This window comes from Homo sapiens, chromosome 7 (genome assembly GCF_000001405.40).
Source record: "Homo sapiens chromosome 7, GRCh38.p14 Primary Assembly".
NCBI lineage: Eukaryota > Metazoa > Chordata > Mammalia > Primates > Hominidae > Homo > Homo sapiens.
Genome location: NC_000007.14, coordinates 143,308,389 through 143,332,310, shown reverse-complemented (window position 1 = coordinate 143,332,310; position 23,922 = coordinate 143,308,389). Strand labels below are relative to the sequence as shown.

General features: G+C 47.4%; 1 protein-coding gene and 1 pseudogene across 2 annotated transcripts in view, besides 1 other annotated feature; one reads left to right on the top strand and one right to left on the bottom strand.

Annotated features, from left to right (window-relative positions):
* CLCN1 (chloride voltage-gated channel 1) overlaps window positions 1-16,200 on the bottom strand; it is a 35,973-nt gene extending 19,773 nt beyond the window's left edge. Inside the window, exons 1-10 of one of the 2 annotated variants that reach the window (NR_046453.2) lie at window positions 15,919-16,200; window positions 12,436-12,556; window positions 11,516-11,647; window positions 10,818-10,946; window positions 10,463-10,596; window positions 8,925-9,002; window positions 7,819-7,900; window positions 1,414-1,539; window positions 995-1,079; window positions 659-760 (exon numbers count right to left, since the gene is read on the bottom strand). Coding sequence is in view for 1 of the 2 variants with exons in the window: in NM_000083.3 (NP_000074.3) it covers window positions 659-760; window positions 995-1,079; window positions 1,414-1,539; window positions 7,819-7,897; window positions 8,925-9,002; window positions 10,463-10,596; window positions 10,818-10,946; window positions 11,516-11,647; window positions 12,436-12,556; window positions 15,919-16,098 (1,166 nt within the window). In the remaining variant the exon portion in view is untranslated. The remainder of the gene's footprint in view (window positions 1-658; window positions 761-994; window positions 1,080-1,413; window positions 1,540-7,818; window positions 7,901-8,924; window positions 9,003-10,462; window positions 10,597-10,817; window positions 10,947-11,515; window positions 11,648-12,435; window positions 12,557-15,918) is intronic. The other variant, NM_000083.3, reaches the window with a different exon arrangement.
* Window positions 4,169-4,238: a silencer, noted in NCBI's record as "silent region_18721". NCBI's record gives its function as "represses an Ori minimal core promoter by ATAC-STARR-seq in GM12878 lymphoblastoid cells {active_cell/tissue: GM12878}" and the evidence as "EXISTENCE:reporter gene assay evidence [ECO:0000049][PMID:35858748]".
* On the top strand, window positions 19,199-19,781 carry HINT1P1 (histidine triad nucleotide binding protein 1 pseudogene 1; annotated as a pseudogene).

Sequence of the window (23,922 nt, the reverse complement as noted above, 5' to 3'; positions counted from 1 at the left end):
TTAAATGAAAAAGATTCTCTTCACACAAAAAACCAATATTTGAGGCCGAGTGCGGTGGCTCATGCCTCTAATCCCATGGGGCACTTTGGGAGGCCAAGGTGGGCAGATCACCTTAGGTCACAAGTTCAAGACCAGCCTGGCCAACATGGTGAAACCCCATCTCTACTAAAAATACAAAAATTAGCCAGGCACGGTGGTGCATGCCTGTAATCCCAGCACTTTGGGAGGCCAAGGAGGGTAGATCCCCTGAGGTCACAAGTTCGAGACCAGCCTGGGCAACATGGTGAAACTCCATCTCTACTAAAAATACAAAAATTAGCTGGTCGTGTTGGTGCATGTCTGTAATCCCAACTACTCAGGAGGCTGAGGCATGAGAATCGCTTGAACCCAGGAGGCAGAGGTTACAGTGAGCTGAGATCGCACCACTGCACTCCAGCCTGGGTGATGGAGTGAGACTCTGTCTCAAAAAACAAAAACAAAAATAATCTTTAAATGGGAGACCACACAATTCACCCCCTAACCACAATATCAGAGCTTCCTTATATTTTAATGCAAGCCACCCAGAGGCATTTAATGCCTTCCCCAAAGACAAAAAGGGAGGAACTCTTGGAGAAACCAGAAAGTAAATGGGTAGGGCAAAAGAAGGGCAGTGACTCACTGCTTAGCAAGAAACTGGCTGAGGGCCTTGTGCTTTCGGACACCGAGCATGACTTGGCGATGCAGATACACAAATACAGCTCCCAGGAGCCCACAGCAAATCCTGAGGGTGTAATTTATAGAGTTGGAATCTTACAGACATGAAATCCTCATCTCTTGGACATAACTACTGCAGGGAAACAAATACCAGGCTTCTGCCTTTCCTATCTGCCCACATCCCCCCAGCAATGTACTCTATCTGTGCCAACCGCACCTTCTTTCTAGCTTGGGTCCCTTCCAATCTACAGCCTCACTCCACACCCTGCTCACCACACACAGAGCAGGTAACCCCACTGACCCGATGGCAGCAAAAGCTGGTAGTTCCTTCAGGTCAAAGGGGAAATCCATTCGGAAATTGGTTCTGAACAGAGCAGTGATGGTGACTGTAGGATGGAAAGGCCAGTATTACGATGGGAGCTTCGTAGAAACCCAACAGGGAAACAGAGGTGGGCAGTTTTCAGGATTAATTCCTTCCTTCCTCCAATCCCAGTTTCTCCTCTTGAATGTATTTTCCTTTTTTCTACGCACACTCCTCCATGGATATACTCTCCCACTCCATGACCTATATCTTTGTCATACACCCTTGGGCCTTGGTCCCACCCCACAAATGATGCCGCCCATTATTCCTTTTCTGAACTGCCCCACAGAGTTTTCCTCTGCACCCCATTCCCAGCTTTTCTATTTCACATGGCCTCCACCCAAGGCCTCCTTGGTTACCAGCATCCTTGTTCCACACTGCCAGCACTCGAAACACAAAGGCGCTGAACGTGGCTGCAAAGAATCCTCTCCAGTAGTTCCGAACAGCAAAGTAGGTGGAGGTGACCTCGATGCTAAATAGCACTCCTGCAGGGGCACAGAAGTGTGGTTGGGGGCAGCCAGCAGTGAAAGTGCTCCCCCACACTCCCCACTGCTTGGACCTAAGGAGCTTTTGCTGAAACATGAATCTGGGTGGAAGCAGTAGTGGAAAGTAATGATCTCTTGGATTCCCATGCTCAAAACCACACAACTGCTCAGGCTAGGAGTTTTTTATTTTTATTTCAGACAAGGGATGGGTCCAACACAGAGAAGATTGAAAACGAATGGGCCTTCAACCTCCAAAACATGAGGACCAAGTGTCCGTGCCCTCTGCATCCCTTAGAATGTAGGGTTGAATGGGGTTCACAACTGTCAGATACCCACAGGGACTAAAAGGTAGTTGAAAAAAATCTGCAGAGAAGTTAAGAGAGAGAAAGTTCCAGAGCAGTTCCTCAGTAGAGTTGCCAAGCAGAGCTCAGGATTTACAGGGACTCTCCTTAACACCCTCCTCTGGACTTTCCTACCGTTCTACATATACCATGTACCCTGGGGCAACCTTATAAGGAAGACAGAACAAAAATAGGAGGGGGCTTTGCAGGAGCTGACCATCCTCGATAGTTCAAGAAAAGAAGGTAGAGGAGTCATACAAATAATAATAATAATAAACTAATACTAAAAACCCGACTTAAAAGGACCAACGCAAGGGGAAAAACCAAGAGGCTAGAAGAAGAGAAAAACAATCATGCTTAAGAAAGGTGGGTGAGGCAAAAGGAAAGCTAAGTAGTAGTTCTAAGTAGTACTGTTTCTGAGCGTAGGTGCTGGAGCAGAAATTGAGGGGGTAGATCTACAGAAAAAGAGCAAGGGTTGGTAGGGACAAAGTAAGGAATGCGAGTGAGGGCGTAAAAAGCAACACTCAAGAGAGGCAAAGAAAAAAATATTTCAACATATTAAGAATAAGGGGGGGTGGACTTTAATCTGATGCAAAGTAAAAATTGATGACAAAATTACCTAAAACCTGGCTAAGCCTCATCTTTATCAAAAACGAGGAAAAGGAACCAGGGAAATGCAACCACGCACATAATTGGATGAATGGAGATGAGGCCTGGCCTCAGGAAACCTTGAACTAGGCAGGTTTGTCCCCTTTCTCTCCATGTGAACAGGGTGAACGCCCTCTTCAGGCAGCACCTCGCATCCTAGTAATTTTCTTCTCCCTGTGCTATATTCAAAGGCCACATCTCTTGAATCCCCCAGGACCACCACCTTCTCTTCTACAGGTGACAGTCGACTAGTTACATCAGGTCATTTGCACCAGGGGGAGGGTGGCCTAATGGTTACTCCCAAATGCAGCAGCTGCTACAGTTTGGCAGAGGATTTCCAGTGGTCAGTCCCAAGTCCCCTTCCCTGGGAAGCCATCCCCAATCCTCCTCTTCAGGTCGAAACCATCCGTCCTTCAGCCTGCGCTCTCAGAATTTTGGGTTATTATAGCACTACCACTTTCAGATCCAGATATTTCTTTACATTTCAGAGATCCCCTAGGATTGAAAATTCCTGGGAGGCCAGGCGTGGTGGCTCACGCTTGTAATCCCAGCACTTTGGGAGGCCGAGGCAGGGGGATCATGAAGTCAGGAGTTCGAGGCCAGCCTGGCCAACATGGTGAAACCCTAACTCTACTAAAAATACAAAAATTAGTCAGGCGCTGTGGCAGGCGCCTGTAATCCCAGCTACTTGGGAGGCTAAGGCAGGAGAATTGCTTGAACCCGGGAGACGCAGGTTGCAGTGAGCCGAGATCGCACCTCTATACTCCAGCCTGGGTGACAGAGCAAGACTCCATCTTGAAAAAAAAAAAAAAGAAAGAAAGAAAATTCCTTGAAAACCAGCACCTAGTACAGTGCCTGGTGAATAATCAGGGCTGAATGTCTATTCTCTGGATGAGCAGGGGAGGAGAGGAAAGGACAGGATGAGGAAAGAAGAGAACAGAAGAGAACAGAATTTCAGGAAACAGAGAAAGGCAATGGGCAATGTGGGGCAGACAGAGCTTGCTTGGCCAATCACCCCTTCTGCCCTGCTCTTCACATCACATCAGGTAAGCAGCTGCCTCTGGGGCCTAAAAGGAGGATTTGACACAGCAGGAACCAGGTAGAGTGAGTCTCTCTCCTTTTCTATACCAGTAACAAAAGCAGTCAGCTTTGATTTGCCTGGGTGTAAACTATCCAACTGATGAATATTTTACAACAATTTTTTGAAATCCTGGGCTAGGTTTTCTTTCCTACGACGTGGTTCTGGGACACTTTCCCTAGCAGTCTGTCACTGTATGCTCCGGAATGAGAGCTAATTTTAATATTAGCCTGAGCCAGACATAAAATGTGCAGCTAAGAGGAAACAAAGCATTAAAAACAAAAACAGCTTTCGGAAGCTCTCTGCTCAGGTTCTGGAACATTGCTCTCTTCTCCCACCCTGGATTCCCTCTCTACCTTCTCTGCTGCTCCTGTCCCTCTGCCCAACCCCAGCCTTTGTCCTTGGTCTCCTGCTCCTCCTACTCATAGACACACTTTCTCTCTCAATTTCATGTATGCTCATGCCACAACTACACCTATATGCTGCTGATTAGCAAAGCCATGTTCCTGAGCTTCAGACTCGTCAACCCCGCTGCAAAAATGGTCTCACCTAGATATGTCACAGGAACATCAAATTCAATACACTCAAAGTGAAATGTATCAGCTAGCTCCCCCCACCAGATCTGTTTCACTTCCCATATACCCAGTCTTGGTTACTAACACCACTATCGACCCAATTGCCCTTGTAGGAAATCTGGGTGTTAGCCTAGATCCCTCCTCTCTTTTACCCCACACAAAATTAATCACCGGGATGCTAGGCAGGTGGCCCATGCCTGTAACCCCAGCACTTTGGGAGGCCGAGGTGGGTAGATCACTTGAGGCCGGGAGTTTGAGACCAGCCTGGCCAACATGGAAAAACCTCACTTCTACTAAAAAATACAAAAATTAGCCAGGCATAGTGGCGTGCGCATGTAGTCCCAGCTGCTGGGAGGCTGAGGTGGGAGAATTGCTTGAACCCAGGAGACAGAGGTTGCAGTGAGCCAAAATTGCGCCACTGCACTCCAGCCTGGGCCACAGAGCAAGGCCCTCTCTCAAAAAGAAAAAAATAAAATTAATCACCAGGTTATATCAATTTTACTTTCTACCATTCTTCTCTTTCTCTTCTGCCTCTGTCCAGTGCAGTCTCTTACTACCTAGCATCAGGACTATGACAATCGTCTTCTTGTTAATCTTGGATTAATCCTGTTAATCCCCAGACCAATTTTGTCCTGCACACATCTGACAAAGGGATTGGGTGGACACTCAAAGCTGGCCATATCACTTCCTTGTGCACAAGTATTTCATGACTTTAATTCACCCCGACAGTATTTCCCGAAGTCAGGTCTGTGAGATACTACAAATCCCATGCCCACGAGACAGGGTTCTGTGGGAAATGCTGCATTAGAGACACATTTTGGATATTCCCAATGTGTGTCAGCATATCAAATGTTCTGGTAACTTTTCTTTTTTTTTTTTTTTAAGATGGAGTCTCACTCTGTTGCCCGGACTGGAGTGCAGTGACGCGCGATCTCAGCTTGCTACAACCTCCACCTCCCAGGTTCAAGTGATTCTTCCACCTTAGCCTCCCAAGTAGCTGGGACTACAAGTGCCTGCCACCACACCCAGCTAATTTTTGTATTCTTAATAGAGATGGGGTTTCACCATATTGGCCAGGCTGTTCTTGAACTCCTGACCTCATGATCCGCCTGCCTTGGCCTCCCAAAGTGCTGGGATTATGGGCATGAGCCACTGTGCCTGGCCACTGATAACTTTTTTAGTTTAAAAAAAACTCTCTTTAACCAAGCATTTTCCAACTGGTTTATAGAACCATTTTTACACATTAGATCTAGTAAACCATGAAACACATTCGTGCAAATCCTAGTCTAGAGAATAAATTCCATATTCTTATACATAGCCATGAGAGTCTTCATAATTCAGCCCCCCTTTACTTGTCCAGCCTCATTTGCTATTATTCCTTCCTCTGTATCCCCTGGTAATACTCAGCTACTGCCCCCATCTTGACTTTGCAATGCTGTTTCCTCTGTCCAGAATACCTTGCCCACCATCCTCCTTGCCAGTCCTACTTATTATTCAAGCCTCATGTCAAACACCACCTCTTTTGTGAAGCTTCATGGGCTCTTGTAGGCAGGTTAGCATAAGGTCCCCACTGCACTTTACCCCAGCTGCCATTGGGCCACTTTTTCGAGTGAGCTATGACAATAGGTTTGCCTGCCTGTCCAGCCTCTCAACTAGGAGCACCCTGAGTGTGCAAGATCCAACACAGGGCCTGGTACAGAATGGGAGCAAGATGCTTGTCATTTCAGTAGAATGCTGAATTCCATTTATTTCATTAGTGTAAGAAATTAAGAGCTGACTCCATAATGAATACCTCATTTTGATACTAATTTTCCTTTCAGAATTATTCGGTATTCTTTTTTAAAAATCAAGTAATAGGCCAAGGTGGGCGGATCACTTGAGGTCAGGAGGTTGAGAGCAGCCTGGCCAACATGGTTAAACCCTGTCTCTACTAAAAATACAAAAAATTAGCCAGGCGTGATGGCGCAGGCCTGTAATCCCAGCTACTTGGGAGACTGAGGCATGAGAATTGCTTGAACCCAGGAGACAGAGGTTGCAGTGAGCCAAGATGGTGCCACTGCACTCCAGCCTGGGTGACAGAGCAAGACTCCATCTAAACAAACAAACAAACAAACAAACAAAAAAAACAAGTAATGCCACCTGCAAATACCTTTGTCATTTACCACATAATACAAACAGCGTAAACATGGCACCTTAATTTTTAAGTACTTAACAATTTCTTGTGTCAACAGCAATGTTTTATCTGTGAATTTTTTCTTCCTTTTTCTACCACAGTGGTTTCAGAACTGTTGCCTGTAACTTCTCTGTGATCTTTACCTCTCCCATACTTGACACAGGACCAAGAAGAACTTTTCTGATTCTTCTCAGAAATTCCAATTTTACGAGGAAAATGCAAATTCTCTTCATGTTAAGAGAATCTGGCTGATTAAAACAAAACAACAGAAGTCTCCCAGTCTAAAAATATTATTTAAACCTCCTGGATTTGAAAGGCTAACGAGTAAATAAAGGCAAAAGTGGGTATAAATGTAAGTGTGAACGTTTAACATGTGCAAAAATCCAAATACACTATCCTCCACTGACAAGGATTAGTGATTTTAATGAGTAGAGCTGAGGACAGAAATGTAAACAGGATGCTAGCTGATGTGCTTGCTAACTTGGGTTCCTTAGTCTGTGTGCTTTGCCACAGTGTTTGCATAAGTTAGATCATGCATTTGCATTAACTTTAAACTCTTCTCCACTTATCATTCCTGCACCAAGTCATTTTAGTTCCCTGGAAGATTCTATGAAAAGATTGCTTAACATTTCCATAACTGAAAAGAAACCTCTAACAGTGGGTCATTTAAGAAGCATATGCCCTTCCTGCAATTTTGTTTCTTCACATATCAACTTGGTGTCCTTTTTATCATCAATGAATCCAGTGAATGATCTATATAATCCTGCCCTGCTAATCTAGCTATAATTGATTTTGATGAGTCAATAAACAGATACGACTGCTTTCTCCGACTACATCCATTTGTTAATCATCCATGATAAGGAAAATAATCTGAGAGATCGCTATTTGCCTTATACTTGGAGAAAGAGCTAAACTTAACTTTAAATTGCTATCAAGGGACATTTATCCTTTGAAACTCTCCTAACTATTCCACACTAAAAGCTTACCATTAATCTAAATAAGGTCTACCTGAATTCCCATGCAATTAATAAAGCACAACAAAATGTGGATTTTTCCCTTGAAGGAGGAAGTTCATAGAGTCCCCTGTTAGAGATGTCATCGGTGTAGGGCAAAAACATCCAACAATACAAACAGGTTTGAAAATAAGTAGGGGAGCCACGGAGACTGCCTTGGTTTTAATTCCTGGCTTGTACCTTACTAACAGAATGAACTTGCTCAAGTCACTGTCCCTCTCTGTAACTCAGTTCTCTCCTCTTCCTCCTCTGTAATATCTGTCTCATATGGCTTTGGCCAGGAATAAAAGTAAGTGCTTTAAACATTGCCTGGCACATAGCAAAGGCTTACTAAAAGTCAGCTATTCTCGTAAGTAACCTGGTAATACCAGCACTTGTGGATACTGATTAAAACTGTTTTGGGAGCCAGGCCAGGCAAGCCGATTGATGGGGGAGGGGGTCAATCACTTGCCTCCAAGTGGTGTCCCAAAACAACAGCCGACTCCCACAGCACAGCCCACCGTCAGGATATCAGAGTAGTAGTATGGCTGCTACTAGGGGAGAGACAGACAGAGAAACAGGTGGAAGAGAGGGAGGTGGGCAGGCAGAGGACAGAACAAGCAGGGATGGGGAATAAGGCAGAATGAGAGGCCTAAGTCAAAAGGAGTCCTTGTGGTCCCATGTCCCCTGTGATTCCCAGGCCAAGAGAAACTCAGTGAGTTTGGCAAAAAGGAATTAACCTCATAGCACAGTGTCAAAATGAAATAGAAGGTAGAAAATGAAATAAAAGTTAGGCAAATATATGCCAGGCACGTAAATCAATAAATGATAAGCAGAAAAGAGACAGCAAGAACTCCAGAAAGCAGTACTAATAAATCCTGCACCAAACAGCAAGCAGTCTCAAAATAATACACAGCCCTTTGCTGAAAAAATATAGGTATCTGGACCGCAGGGGCTGTGATCCACAGTCATTCCCTGGATGCCCACTCCAAAGCTTGTGGCAGCCACCCAAAACCCCCTTCTAAGTCTTGCTTAGGCAACCGGGATAGGGAGGAAGTGCAACTTGCCTCCGACAGGGGCTGCAAAGCAGCATCCCACGCCCACTGCACAGGCCGACACCAGGAGGTCAAGCTGCCCAGGCACGGTCTGCAACAGAGAAGCACGCGGGACAAGGGGGTGGAGGGGTGGGGCAGGCGGGACGTATGTAAGAGGTAGGGTGAGGGATTGGGAGCTACAAAGGGATGGGGGAGCACACGAGGGAAACGTGGAGGGAAACTAACACAGAGGGGGTGGTATGGACTAGCAGGGAGAGCATGGGAGCAGACGACAGACCAGACCTCCATGTGGGGCCACAGGTGAAAGAGGGGTGGACATTTGGAGGACAGGCACAGGCTAAACAGAGGCATCACGTGGCCAGGGTAGGCAGACAGGGAGACGAGGAAGGGAGCGTGGATTAGTGCGATGCTGCTTCAGCACCACAGCCAGCCCAGAGCAGAGGCAGCCCTCCCAACACCCTGGACACACAGCCGGACTCCTTCTACCACCTGGCCCCAGCTCATTTCACTGTCTCAACCTTACCTCATATACCCCGCAGAACACAGACATGAATTTGCTGAGGACAGCAGCACAGATGCTGGCAATGTGGACGAAGGGGCCCTGGGAGAGGGGGAGCGAGGGGGCGGGGGTCAGAGGCCAGATGGAGGCTCTGCAGCACTCACTGGACTAATAATATTCCTTACTCCAGGCACTGTGCCAGGGGCTGGAAATACGGGAGTTACACAGAGGTCCTGCCCTCACGAGGCCTCATCCCAGAGAGGAAGAAGAGGAGAAACCAGTGTGTTTCTCCTCTCCAGAGAGCCAGGGTGGAGGAGGGTGGGAGGGCACGTGTTTAGAGGAAAGGGCCTGAGGAGCCTGCCTAAAGTAGAGCTTTGAATGATGGGAGGGAGGGAGCCGCGCAGATGTCAGGAGGAAGAATGTTCCAGGCTGAGAAAACAGCACACAGGCGCCCTGAGGGGCCCAGGGCAGAGTGACTGAGGGACAGAAAGGAAACTTGTGAGCCAAACACAGGAAAGCAGGGGCACAGGCCTGCAGAGAGGAGGAACCAGAGTCCACGGTCTCGAAGGCCACGCAAGAAGTTCTGATAAGGCCGGGCGCGGTGGCGCACGCCTGTAATCCCAGCACTTTGCAAGGCCAAGGCAGGTGATCACCCGAGGTCAGGAGTTTGAGACCAGCCTGACCAATATGGTGAAACCCTATCTCCACTAAAAATACAAAAATTACCAGATGTGGTGGCGTGTGCCTGCAGTCCCAGCTACTCGGGAAGCTGAGGTGGGAGAATCGCTTGAACCTGGGAGGTGGAGGTTGCAGTGAGCCAAGATCGCACCACTGCACTCCAGCTTGGGCAAGCGAGCTAGACACTGTCTCAACAACAACAACAACAAAACTTTCAATTTTGTTTTAAGAGGCATGGAAAGCCTTAAGAAGTTTTTGACCAGGGGTCAGATGAGACTGATCCCATTTTTAAAAGATGCCTCTGGCTGCTGGGTGGAATATGGCAGTAGGGGGCAAAGATGAACACCAGCAGAGAACGGAAGGAGGCTGCAACCCACCGAGCAACCTTGAAAATAGCACAGCCTCTTTCTCAGTCCTAGTTTTCTCAGATTCAAGCAAGAGAATTGGTCTGGATGATCTCTAAGACAGTGTTCTCAACCAGGGGAGATTTTGTCCTCCAGGGTCCATATGGCAATGTCTGAGGACATGCTGGTGTCACAACTGGGCGATGCAGCTGGGCATCTAGGAAGGGTCAGAGGCCAGCAATGCTGCTAAGTCCCCTCCACTGCACAGAACAGCCTCCCCACAGCACAGAGTTTTCCAGCCCCAAATGTCAGGGGTGTCCAGGCTAAGAGCCTGCTCCAAGCTCCCCAAGCTGTGTGGTTTTTGTCATTGGACCTCAGTTGGAGGAACTTCCAAAGCATTTCCCCTTCCTAGTGTCCCCTGGCCCTGGCCTTGGTCCTGTCCCCTGATCCACTTCCACTCCCAGAGCTCCCTCTAGAGTTGGTGCCACCCTGGCTCCTGAGGGCCCCTCCCAGCTCTGGCTTCAGTCATGCCAGGCCTACCTCTTTCCCCACGGGGATGCCACTGCCCAGGCCCGCAGTCAGGGCGACAACCTTGGCCACAAAGGCTTTCATTGTGAGGTATTCCTTCAGGACAACCCCACGAAGTATTGTCTTCATTTCGGGGATTCCAGAGCCTAAAAGCGTTGAAAGATTATGTGCAGGGTCAAGGTGAAGGTGAAAAGGGAGATGAATGTCCAGAATATGGGAATGGGAATTGGAGAGGGCTGAAGAGGCAGTGGTGGGGAGGATGGGGCAAGGCAGCACAGGGCTGTGGGTGGGGCTGGATGATGGGGGAGACAGACAGGGCCCCTCTCAGGCCACCCAGCTCAGGCCGAGTCTGGTGGCAAGTTCTCACCAACAGCCTGGGGAGAGATGAGGTGGCAGAAGAGGGCGCTGAAGAGGATGAGGACTAGTGGGAAGGTGACCCAGACCAGGAACTGCAGAGGAAGGCTGGGCTGCATCTGCGCGTAGGACCACTTGTAGGCTGCGGAGACACATGCCTGGGGTTAGGCAGAACATGGCTGAGCAGCCGTGTCCACGGCACCAGGACGTGTACCCGGCATGTTCTCAGGCCGTGCTCCTTCTGTGTGCCCCTTCTGAGATGGTGCTGCTCTCATTTGACACATGGGAAGCCTGAGTTATGGAGGCGACATGGCCTGTTCCAGTTGGTGGCTGTGTCACGAATCCCACTGGAGTACAGGGTCTGGAGGCCTGGGTGTGACCAACCACCCGGTGTGCCCAGAACCAAGGGGCTTCCTGGGATTCGGGATGTTCAGTGCTGAAACTGGGAAAGTCCCTGGGGAACTGGGGCAAGTTGGCCACCCTATTAGAGGGGCATCCACTGCTTGGGTGGCAGTGAGTGGAGGGGCGTGAGAAGTGGAGCAGGCCTGGGTCTGGTCTTTTCTGGGCCTGGAGTCCCACCTGATCCCTCTCTGCGCAATATTCGCTTCCCATAACACACCCTGCTTAACATTCGCTTCCGATAACACACCCTGCTTACCCTAGGTAGAAACTCCAGAAACGGCTGTGGGCAAAGGTCCAGGTTAAACCTACCCTGAAGGCTTTTGGCACTGACGTAGTCCATGCTCCAGCTGACCAGAGCCATCAGCAGTCCCAGAAGCACCAGAAAGATCCCGTCTTCCCCTAATTTTCTTCTCACCACCTGTCCCAGGCGGTGGATACAATCTAGGAAGAGATGAGGGAAAAAACAAACAAACAAACAACAAACAAACAAACAAACAAAAATATATATATGTAGAGACAGAGAGAGAGAGAGAGAGAGAGAGAGAGAGAGAAAAGCAGCTAACGAGTCACTACTTTACTTTGGGTGCTATACCCAAGATGGGAGGGGAAGCCTTGGGCCCCCAGGGTCCGTATGTCTTATGCACTGAGTTTCTCATTACCCCTCTGCTGATTGCTGCTCCGGCCCCTGCAAAAGGCACCAAAGCCCAGTTCCCCATGAATACTTGAATTCCTTCCTAAAACTCATTTCTTGGAGTTGTGGGAGGAATAACAGGGAATAGGCAAAGTGCGAAGGAGGTGAAGAGAGGTGCCTTTTCCTTAATACTTAGAGGGGCCAAGCATGGTGGCTCACGCCTCTAATCCCAGGAATTTGGGAGGCTAAGGCGGGAGGATTGCTTGATGCCAGGAGTTCAAGACCAGCCTCAGCATCCTTACAAAAAAAGTTTTAAAATTAGCTGGGCATGGTGGCATGTGCCTATAGTCTCAGCTACTGGAGAGGCTGAGGCAGGAGGATCACTTGAGCCCAGGAGTTCTAGGCTGCAGTGAGCTATGATCACTCCACTGCACTTCAGTCTGAATGACAGAGTGAGACCCTGTCTCTTAAAAACAATTAGAGGAGAGTTTTTGTAGCAGGGCAGGGAGTACGTACGTGCAATGGGATGCCCAAGTTATTCTCCTAATCCCTGTACCTGTTTCTACTCCAGATTTCTTTATTCCTCAGTCCCCATCACCTTGACATTTAGAATAGTGATCCTCATCCTTGCTGTCCACGGTAGAACTGGAGCCTGTCTTCTTGGGCATCCCTATGTCCTGCTCCCTGTCTGAGAATTGTTCTTTGTGATGGCCATAAATCTGGACAGAGAGAGAATGATCAGTGTCTGCCTTGTGGAAGACTAAAAAAATAATAGACAGAGGCCAGCAGACAGACTCACAGAAGAAAAGAACAACAGCTTTTTGAATTCTGGGTGTTGACTGCATGCAGGGTGACTTTGTGGTCATCCCTGCCCTCTACTCTCCACCCTCCATTCCCACACTTCCCACCCTTTCCCTTGTTCATTCATCCTACCTTCTCTACACCCATTCTCCAACCTGTACTCACCTTGATCCAGGGTAGCCTTTATCAAGGAGGCCAGTTTTTGCTTTGAAGCAGAGGTACAGAACTGTGCTGAACCCAGGTGGCCATATCAATCAGGTGTTTTGTGTCACTGCGCTTTCTGTATGTCCCACAATTTCCCCAGACCACTTGCATTGACTTTTCTCCTAACATGAACAGGGTGAGGACAGACTGGGCTAACTAGCAGGGCAGTCTTGGTTGCACTTTGCCTTGGTGTGTCTAGCCTTACCTGAGGCACCTCAGGTCCTCTATCAAGCTTCAAGACCATCCACTTCATCTCCCAGTGCTTGTATGCACACACAAGAACTAGCCCGAAAAGGCAGGTCCATCTACTTCTTCCCACAGCTAGATAATTAGACCCCTACCTGCCCCACATGTGAAGAGGACAGAGCAGCTCCCCCAGGTCTGGTGGCCCTCCGCTTCCATCCTGAGGCAGAGCACGTGTGTCTGTGTGGGGTATACAAGAGCTCCAACCACTTTTAGCCTGCCCCACTCCCACTACACTAACTGTCCTCTGGGGCCAGGGTCAGGCCAGGCCATGTTGCTGGATTCTGGGAGAGCCTGAGTAGAAGAGATCTGATTTCACAATATGAGCAGCATTTTACACCGCAGTCCTGAACAAGCACGCACATGAATTGCCCTGCTCATGGCTGTTTGTCTTCTGGGTCAGTGACCGAGGGAGGCAGTGTTTCCTTCCAAACCCTGCGTGGGACCCAGAGAGAGAACATACTTCCCAGTGGAAGTCAGACAGCTGAGGCTGTCTCAGCTCCTCAAGGCCCCAGGCCAGTGGAGACAAGGAAGGGGGTTGCTTCATATCATCATACCTGGGCTGGGAAAACACTTAAAGGGCCAGATCTGTTCTGGCTGGTCCCATGCAGGGCAGGGTGAGGGGAGGGCAAGGGAGAAGTCAAAACTCAAGTCTACAAGTGATACAATGTCTGGGATTTGTTAAAAAGTATTCCAAGGTGGAAGCAAGGCTCAGTGGCTCACCCCTGTAACCCCAGCACTTTAGGAGCCTGAGATGGGCAGGTTACCTGAGGTCAGGAGATCAAGACCAGCCTGACCAACATGGAGAAACCTCGTCTCTACTAAAAATACAAAAATTAGCCAGGCATGGTGGCGCATGCCTGTAATCTCAGCTACCTGGGAGGCGGAGGCAGGAGAATTGCTTGAACCAGGGAGGCGGAGATTGCGGTGAGCTGAGATCGCGCCATTGCATTCCAGCCTGGGCAACAAGAGCGAAACTCCATCTCAAAAACAAAAAACAAAAAACAAAAAACAAAAAAAAAGTATTCCATGGTGTGTAGAGTGGTGAGGGTGGGGAAGGGAAGAATAGATGGAACAATAGTGACAAAATATTGACAACTGGTGGGTACTTGGGGCTTCACTATACCATTCCATTTTTGTGTAAGTCTTCCATAATAAAAATTAAACAAAGAAAAACTAATCCAAACTCTTGTTTACTTTTGAGACCTGTAGAAAACAGGCCAATTCTACTCCCCAAACTAACCATAGCTTCCCAACACGAGAACTGTCATCAGGAAGTGCCATAATGGCACTGTTACTCAAGTTGCCATCCCACCCAGATACAACCATGTACACGAGTGAGAACACAGGGCCAGGGGGAGGGGTCTTCCCTCCTGCTGATCCCACACAGTGTTCAAAGGCCTAGTCAGACCCCGCTGTCTCCAAGAAACCTTCCCAATGCTCGATTCCAGCCTACACTGACCTGTATGTCCCTCTTCCCTACTGGGTCCCTAGCGCTGCCTTTGCAAATACTCCTGGGGGTTGGTCAGGGACTGAGAGCAGATCCTTTTGACCCCCAGTGCTGAGATCCCCTGCATAGCTCATGCCTCAGCTTCCCAGCCTTAAACCTAAAGGAACTGAAGGCTCCCTGTTAAAAAAAAAAAAAAGAAAGAAAAAAAAGCCTTTTAAGTTCTGACCAGACTGGGCACAGTGGTTAACACCTGTAATTCCAGCACTTTGGGAGGCCAAGGCGGGTGAATTACCTGAGGTCAGGAGTTCGAGACAGCCTGGCCAACATGGCAAAACCCCGTCTCTACTGAAAGTACAAAAATTTGCCAGGTATGGTGGCAGGTGCTTGTAATCCCAGCTACTCAGGAGGCTGAGGAAAGAGAATTGCTTGAACCCGGGAGGCGGAGGTCGCAGTGAGCCAAGATAGCACCACTGCACTCCAGCCTGGGAGACAGAGCGAGACTCCATCTCAAAAAAAAAAAAAAAAAAAAAAGTTCTGGCCAACTGCCCTCTAGACAAATTCTATCCTCTGTTATTCTCTGCATTCTTTGGAGGGAGAGGCACACTTACTTATTAACCATGACCTATCTTTTTCCATGACAATTTCACAACCTTTCCTTTAGTTGTGCCCATCCCCATTCCCCCTTTCCTAGGTGTTCATATCCCACCAATCCCACAGCGGGAGGCTGCTCATCCATAGACACTCCTAATTAGCCTGCATGCTTCTGTTGCTGGGATCACATCTCTGCCCTTTTCCAGGTGCCTAACACTTAATAGGTTCTTACTTGATCATCTTGCGACCTAAAAGCTTGTACATCTCTGCTCATTTTGACGTTGGTAGATCTTTGATCACTGATAAGCAATTCAGTCTGTTTTCTACACTTGCCCAATTCCTTTCTTCTGCCTTCTGCAGAAAGATTCATGTTTGTGTGTATTCTGCAGAGGGTCCCAGAGGCAGAAATCTGGCAGTGTCTACCTGTGGGTGAGGGTGTGGGAGACAGCTCCCAGCACACTGCAGTGTGGGCTCCTACGCAATCCACTCCACGTAGGTTATGTAAGCACGAGCTATTCATGCATGTGAGGCTCTGCTGTTTCCCCATATGATTTGGGTACTCTGTTGGTAAAGGTTGTATGAAAGTGCATGCATATCTCTCTAAGTGCATACTTAAGTGAGCCCAGACTTTCAAAGATTTTCATATTTTGAACACATCACCACGTACTTGTTTTTTAAGTTAAAAAAATGTAACACTGCTCCCTCTTTTCACCCAATTCCTCATTTTCACCAGTCTCTGGCACCACTGTCTCCCCTCATCCATGGCTCCCCTCTCCCCTTAGAGCACTTTACCTGTGTGGGGTGGACGTTGTGGCGGGGGCCTGCATCCTTCCGGAGCCTGTGCTGGAGGCCCCCATTCTCAGAGGGCAGTCCGTAGCTGGTGCAGTGTTCAAAGGGCATATACTGGTACTGGGGGTCACTACCCCACCAGCTTTGTTCACCCCCACGCTGCTGTGACCGGGATTGCTCCATATTCCCTCCCCCCGAGCCCCGGCCAGGCCTTGGCCTGCTTGCCCCTGTCCTTCCCCCAGTGTAGCTCCTTAAGCCTCTGCTCTTGCTGTCCCCAAGGCGTCTGGGGCAGCATGCCCACCTCCAGCTATTTATAGACCCCTCTCCGTCACATGACCCCCCACTGCCACATCTGATCTGCTTGGGGTCGAAGCAGGTGTGAGTGCAGTGTGGGGGTGGGGGTTGGGATGAGAACCTGAGGGACAGCCCCACAGGGAATTCCCTCTGCTGAGCCAGTGGCATTGTCCCCCTTCTTAGTCACCAGTAGTAGGCTTCCAGCTCCATGTCACTGGTCCCTCTATAAATATCGCCTGGACCAGGATGAGAAACTGCTGAGTATGCTCTCAAACCTATGTGTAGAGCCGGATCTGCATGGAAGCCCTCCAGTTGCCCATCTCTCTTCTTCAGGATGCGGAAGGTGAGGGGTGGGTGCTGGATAAAGATGAAGCGACTCGAAGTTCTGGAAACACTGGCACATTAACTCACCTGGGAAAGTAACTGGTGCCTCTCTGCCACATCTCCTGGCCAGCTTGTTCCCAACTCTGTGTCCACCCAGGGTTCTGTCTGGCCAGCTCTGCCAGCCCATCCCATGTCCAGCGTTCTTCTCTAGCTCTTTGCCCTTCTGTCTGCCAGAGGCTGCTAATAACAGCTTGGGGGCATCCCCTGATCCCATCCTTATCACTCACTGGGTGTGGAACACTTATGGGAAGTGGGAAGTCGAGGGTCGGTAATAGCCTTGGGTTCTAGAATTTCTCCCACTTCCCAGACTGTTAGGTGTCAGCCACACTGCCAACCCGGAGGGACTGAGCTTCCATTTGGACTGTGGAGTGCCCACACTGGCTCCATCAGATAGATAACAAGGGAGATAACAGGGGAGAATCGAAAGTAGAAAGAGGCACAGGGAAGGGAGAGGTGGGAAAGGGGTGAGGGCTTCTCATGACAAGCCCGACAAACATGAAAGATGATGGGGAAGTGCTCTCTGCTATTCTTCCCTTTTCAGGTCAATAAATACTTTTTTGGCCAAGGACAAACTTTTCTTCCTGGCATCACGTTATAAAACCAATTTTCCTATGACATGTCTTCCCTATGAACTCTTCACTGTAGGAGAAAAGATATGAACTGAGCCAAAGTAAAGTTTAGGATGCATTACCAAGTGGGGTCTGTCCCAGGACAGTCCAAGTTCAGGGACTGCAGGGTAGGGACACCAAACATCTGGTCTACAATGTGATTTTGACCTAGGCTAAATGGAACCACCCAAAGCAGGAGGGAAGCCAATATCATTAAAAGTACTTTTTCTAGGGCCTCAACATCATTAATCATCAGGAAACCAAAATCATAATGCAATATCGCCTCATACCTGTTAGGATGGCTATTATCAAAAAAGCAAGAGATAGCCATTATTATGGCTATGGATATTATGGTTCATGCTTATAATCCCAGCAATGTGGGTGACCAAGGCGGGTGGAATGCTTAAGCCCAGCAGTTCGAGACCAACCTGGCAACATGGGGAGACCCTGTCTCTATAAAAATTATAAAAATCAGCCATGTGTGGTGGTGCACGCCTGTAGTCCCAGCTACTTGGGAGGCTGAGACAGGAGGATCACTGAAGCCCGGGAGGTGGAGGCTGCAGTGAGCTGGGAAGGCACCACTGCAATCCATCCTGGTCTACAGAGTGAGATTATGTCTCAAAAAAAAATTAAATAAAAAGATGAGATAAATGTTAGTGAGAATGCAGAGAAAAGGGAACCCTTGTGCACTGTTGGTGGGAATGTAAACTGGTATAGTCATTATGAAAAACAGTATAAAAGTTCCTCAAAAGGTAAAAACAGAACTGCCATATGACTCAGCAACTCCCATACATCCAAGGGAAAGGAAATCAGTATCTCAAAGAGGTATCTGCACTCCCATGTTCATTACAGCATTATTCACAATAGCCTAGAAATGGAAACAACCTAAGTGTCCACTAACAGATGAATAATGTCATGTGTATATAAATATATATAATGGAATACTATTCAACCCTGACAAAGAAGAAAATCCTGCCACTTGTGACAACATGGATGAACTTGGAGGACATTACGCTAAGTCAAACATTGCAGACACAGAAAGAAAAATACTGCATGATTGCACTTGTATGTGGAATCTAAAATAGTCAAACTCATAGAAGCAGAAAGTAGAGGGTAGTTGCCAGGGGCTGGGCTGGAGTAGGGGGTGGGAGAATGGGGAAATTTGGTCAAAGGATACAAGGTTCACTTATACAAGATGAGAAAGTCCTGGAGATCTAATGTGCATGGTAACTATAGGTAGTAATACCACATACTTGAAATTTGCTAAGAGGGTAGATCTTGAATGTTCTCACCTCCCTGCACCCCCAAAGCAACTATGTGAGGTGATGGATATGTTAACCGGCTTGATTGTGATGATCATTCACAATGTACACATATATCAACACATCAAGTTGTACATTGTTGGAGGCCGCACAAATGTTTCTTATGATTAGGTACAATTGAAGCTTGTCAGTAACAATATGAACCTGTGATCAATTCAGCAGCTGACCAATCGTTACCTCCTTCTTGTTCTTGTTACCCAGTAAATATGAAGGGCTGAGAAGCTCGGCAGGGGAGCTGCCTTTGCTCACTAGAAGCAGGGAGCTCTCTTCTTCTTCATGTTGCCTTTCCTTAAAACAGTTTCTTTTGTCTTAAGTTTTCATTTCTACATTCGTCCCTTTGTTCGGTCATAATGATGGTTTCAAGTGGTAACAGTAGTAACTGCTGTAATCACGGTCTCAAGTAGTAATTAAATATGTATAATTTCTAGTTGTCAATTATACACCAATGTAGCTAAAAAAAAAAAAAAACAAAACACCTGCTCTAACAACAATCCTACAAACCTCAAGGCCTATAATCTCTCCAAAAAATTACAAATGTGTGATGAATTGAGAGACTAAACATTCTGTGATGATACCCACCTTTTCTGCAGGCAGAAAATAAGGATAGACATCTATGGGATTGGTATGAGCAGAAAGGATTACTTTCTTAACAAAGAAAATAGAATCTGTGGGTTCCTCCCTCCTTCTGAGCCTCTACCCTGCCTGCTGTGTGGGAGACAGGCAGAGATGGCAGGTGAGATCGCCAAGGCTCAGGTCGCTCGGCCTGGTGGCAACACTGTCTTCGGGAAGATCATCTGCAAGGAAATCCCAGCCAAAATCATTTTTGAGGATGACCAGTGCCTTGCTTTCCATGACACTTCCCCTCAAGCACCAACACGTTTTCTGTTGATATCGAAAAAACATATATCCCAGATTTCTGCAGCAGAAGATAATGACGAAAGTCTTCTTGGACACTTAATGATTGTTGGCAAGAAATGTGCTGCTGATTTGGGCCTGAATAAGGGTTATCAAATGGTGGTGAATAAAGGTTCAGATGGTGGACAGTCTGTCTGTCAAGTTCATCTCCATGTTCTTGGAGGTTGGCAGATGCATTGGCCTCCTGGTTAAGCACATTTTGGTGATAATTTTCCCTTCTCTGGGCAATGATTAAGTTAGGCAAGTTCCAGTATGTTAAGTAGCACACTTATTTTTTGCCTGTGTATGGAGAGATTCAAGAAATAATTTTAAAACCGCATACATAATAAAAGACATTGTTGCACACACAAAAAAATAGAGTGCCAAGGTAACACTGCATTCCTTGGAGGACTTCAGAAACAAGATTCTCCCATTTGAGGAGTATAGCTTTCCTGAAAGTGATCAGTTGCTGTAGAAACTTGATAAATATAAGCAGCAAGATATGAGATACAATTATGACTTTCTTACTATTTCTGAGAAAGACAGGGCCCTAAAACAGAGCAGCCTAGTCATGGACTCTGAGATTTGAAGGCAGAGACCAGTGGAGTAGGGAAGTGCTCACATCCAGCCAAGCTGAGTGGAAGCGTGTGGTCTAGAAGGAAAGCACCAACTGCGATTCTTAAAACCAGATTCTGAAATTAGGAGGGTCAAAGACATGTACAGACTGCCAGTGCTGGTGGGCAAGGGTTTGAGAGTAAATATCCTGTGTTTGAAATTAGGAATAGTTTAAATCCCATGGGTTTAAATCCCTGCAAGAGAACAAGAAAAGAAAATGTAAACCATGCCCACTCCTCACTCCATCATCCCGCTGGGCTTAGTAGCTTAGGTTCTTATTTGGAGGCACAAAGATGGGCTTCTAGGGATTCCTGTAAGGCTCCTGAATGTGGAAGCAAATTCATAAGCATGCATAAATGATATATATTCTTTCGGGTTTTATTTATTTTATTTATTTATTTTTTGAGATGGTGTCTCACTGTCACCCAGGCTGGAGTGCAATGGCGCGATCTCTGCTCACTGCAACCTCCGTCTCCCGGGTTTGAGCGATTCTGTCACCTCAGCCTCCCGAGTAGCTGGGATTACAGGCACTTACGGTCATGCCCGGCTAATTTTTGTATTTTTGTAGAGATGGGTTTCTCACCATGTTGGCCAGGCTGGTCTTGAACTCCTGACCTCAGGTAATCTGCCCGCTTTGGCCTCCCAAAGTGTTGGGATTACAGGTGTAAGCCACTGCACCCGGCCTCTTTTGGGGTTTTAAATAGATCATCCTAGGGTCCATTATACAAAAAGTTTAAAAGCCCATAGGCTTATAGAATTGCTATTTGAAGGAAAATCGTAAAAAGTTGCCATGCAAGATACATGGAGGAGAAGTTTTGTGTTGGGTATAGGTGAAAGAATTTTCTTTCTGGGTTACACCCTTGTTTTCAGACTCTCACGTCTTCCAGTCTGGCCTCCCCAGCATAGTGGGCAGTAAAACCCTTATGTTCTTTAAAGGTGTTTTCAGTCATCACTTTCCCTCTGCATATCCAGGCAGCCATGGAACCCGTGGCCACCTACTTTCTGAAATTTCAGCTAAGCTACAACTTCCTCTGAAGACACTTTGTATTGTATGCCACTGGCGGTCATGTCTCCTCTCCTCTTTATTGTGGCTTGCCTCCTTATTCTTTTTTATTTTTTTTTTTTGAGACGGAGTCTCGCTCTGTCGCCCAGGCTGGAGTGCAGTGGCGCGATCTCGGCTCACTGCAAGCTCCGCCTCCCGGGTTCACGCCATTCTCCTGCCTCAGCCTCCGGAGTAGCTGGGACTACAGGCGCCCGCCACCACGCCCAGCTAATTTTTTGTATGTTTTAGTAGAGATGGGGTTTCACCGTGTTAGTCAGGATGGTCTAGATCTCCTGACCTCATGATCCGCCCGCCTCGGACTCCCAAAGTGCTGGGATTACAGGCGTGAGCCACCACGCCCAGCCAGCCTCCTTATTCTTTAAGCATCCTTAGTCCTTTCCCATCCCCTGCACGTCAGGCTTTCCCTGTAGTATTCGACAGGTCTCCTTCTCCCCCTTCTGGCTTTTCAAACATGATACATTTTCCCCCAAACTCCTACCTAATTAGGACTTAAGATGGAATAAGGTTTGGGTCTCAGTTTCATTCCCACAGCCCAATGGGAGGAATCTTACAGCCCAAAAAAAGGAAGAAAAAAATCCTTCATGCCAGAATAAGTCACAGAAGCAAGGCTGTTAGCATACGCTCAAACTGACAGCTTTGGTTTCACATCCTGACCTCAGTTTCCTCAGAAAGGAAGTAACTAGAGGGTTAAGAAGATAAAATAACACATGCAAAAAAACATGCTATAGGCTGGGTGCGGTGGCTCACACCTGTAATCTCAGCACTTTGGGAGGCCAAGGTGGGTGGATAACGAGGTCAAGAGATTGAGACCATCCTGGCCAACATGGTGAAATCCCGTCTGTGCTTAAAATACAAAAATTAGCTGGGCGTGGTGGCGTGCGCCTGTAATCCCAGCTACTCGGGAGGCTGAGGTAGGAGAATCACTTGAACCCGGGAGACGGAGATTGCAGTGAGCCGAGATCACACCACTGCACTCCAGCCTCACGACAGAGTGAGACCCCATCTCAAAACAAAACAAAAATGTGCTATAGTGTTTGATTCATAGTAAGAACTGTTCACTCATATTAAACTGAAGCTCATTCTGTGAGTTAACATTTATCAAGCATTTTTTATGCATTAACACCATGTGATTTACATGCATCATCACATTTAATCCTCATAGGGACATTGGAAGGTAGACACAATTTTCCTCATTTTCAAATAAGGGAAATTGGGGCTGTGTTAGCTACCTTGATCAAGGTCTCCAATATCTTCAAAGGCAGAGCCGGCATTCAAAATCAGATCTACTGAATTCTAGAGTCCATACCGTTAAAGCTACATTTGTGGCCAGGCGCGGTGGCTCACTCACGCCTATAATCCCAGCACTTTGGGAGGCTGAGGTGGGTGAATCACCTGAGCTCAGGAGTTCAAGACCAGCCTGGGCAACATGGTGAAATCCCATCTCTACTAAAAATACAAAAATTAGCTGGGTGTGGTGGCGTGTGCCTGTAATCACAGCTACTCGGGAGGCTGAGACAGGAGAATCGCTTGAACCTGGGAGGCAGACGTTGCAGTGAGCTGAGATCACGCCATTGTACTCCAGCCTGGGCAACAACAGCAAAATTGTTTCAAAAACAAAAGGGAAAATGACTCCTTCACAGAAGCATGGGGAAGATGAAATGGAAAGCTCCTCTCAATGCCTACAACATACCAAGGACTCAAACAGTTGTAGCTATTATTAATGTCTTCCTCCTTCTCAGATTAGACGTCTTTCCTCTTGTGTTGTGTGTGTGTTTTTTTTTTTTTTTTTTTAAAGATGGGGGTCTCACTATGTTGCCTAGGCTGGTTTTCAACTCCTGGGCTCAAGCAATCCTCTCTCCTTAGCCTCTTGAGTAGCTGGTACTATACGTATGTGTTACTGTGCCTGGCCTCATTCTTTATTTTTTAGAGACGGGGTTTTGCCATTTTGCCCAGGCTGGTCCCAAACTCTTGAGCCCAGGTGATCCACCTGCCTCAGCTTCCCAAAGTGCTGGGATTACAGGCATGAGCCACTGCGCCCGGCCAGTCTGGCACCATTCTTAATATCACAGCTTTGGTTGGGTGTGGTGGCTCATGTCTGTGATCCCAGTACTCTGGGAGGCCGAGGTAGGAGGATCACTTGAACCCAGATGTTTGAAACCAGTGTGAACAACATAGTGAGACCTCATCTCTATTTTATAGAATAAAATTTTAAAAATTAAAAAAAAATCAGCTTTGGTCTGATATTACAGTTTTTCCTTCTTCCTGTTTTCCTTTTCCCTATTAGAGGAAACAGGATGGAGGAGGGCAGCAGAGGGCAGCCCCCAGCTCTGGGAGGGGAATAATTTTAGAAGAGAATCCTCTGGCAGAGGTAAGCAGAAGGGAGCAGAGCTGTGAAATTCAACCTCATACCCTTATTCAAGGGCAAGGGGGTTGGGGGGCGGGGAGGACATGGAATCCAGTTCAGAGATACTGCTCTGTAATTCTCAAACATATCACACCACTGAAAATGCTTCCTATCCTGAAAATGGGTATTTATCTTACTTCCACTATTTCCATAATTTCTTCGCCTGTCCTAGATTTTGTATCCTTCCCTTGAGGCTATCCCATGGTTGTTTTTCTTGCAGTACAACCAACCAGTTTCAGTCCATTTTTCATGCCCTTTTGTCTCCAGTGTTCTGTACCAAATTCTGCTCTATCTGCCGAGGTGCTTCAGCTCACCTCAATCCCCTTCTGCTCTTCCTAGACTGCCATACCCTTCTCTGTATGACTCAACAATATTTCCAGCTCCCACAGCTGTTTCCTACCAAACAAAAAAGTTTTGTTTCTG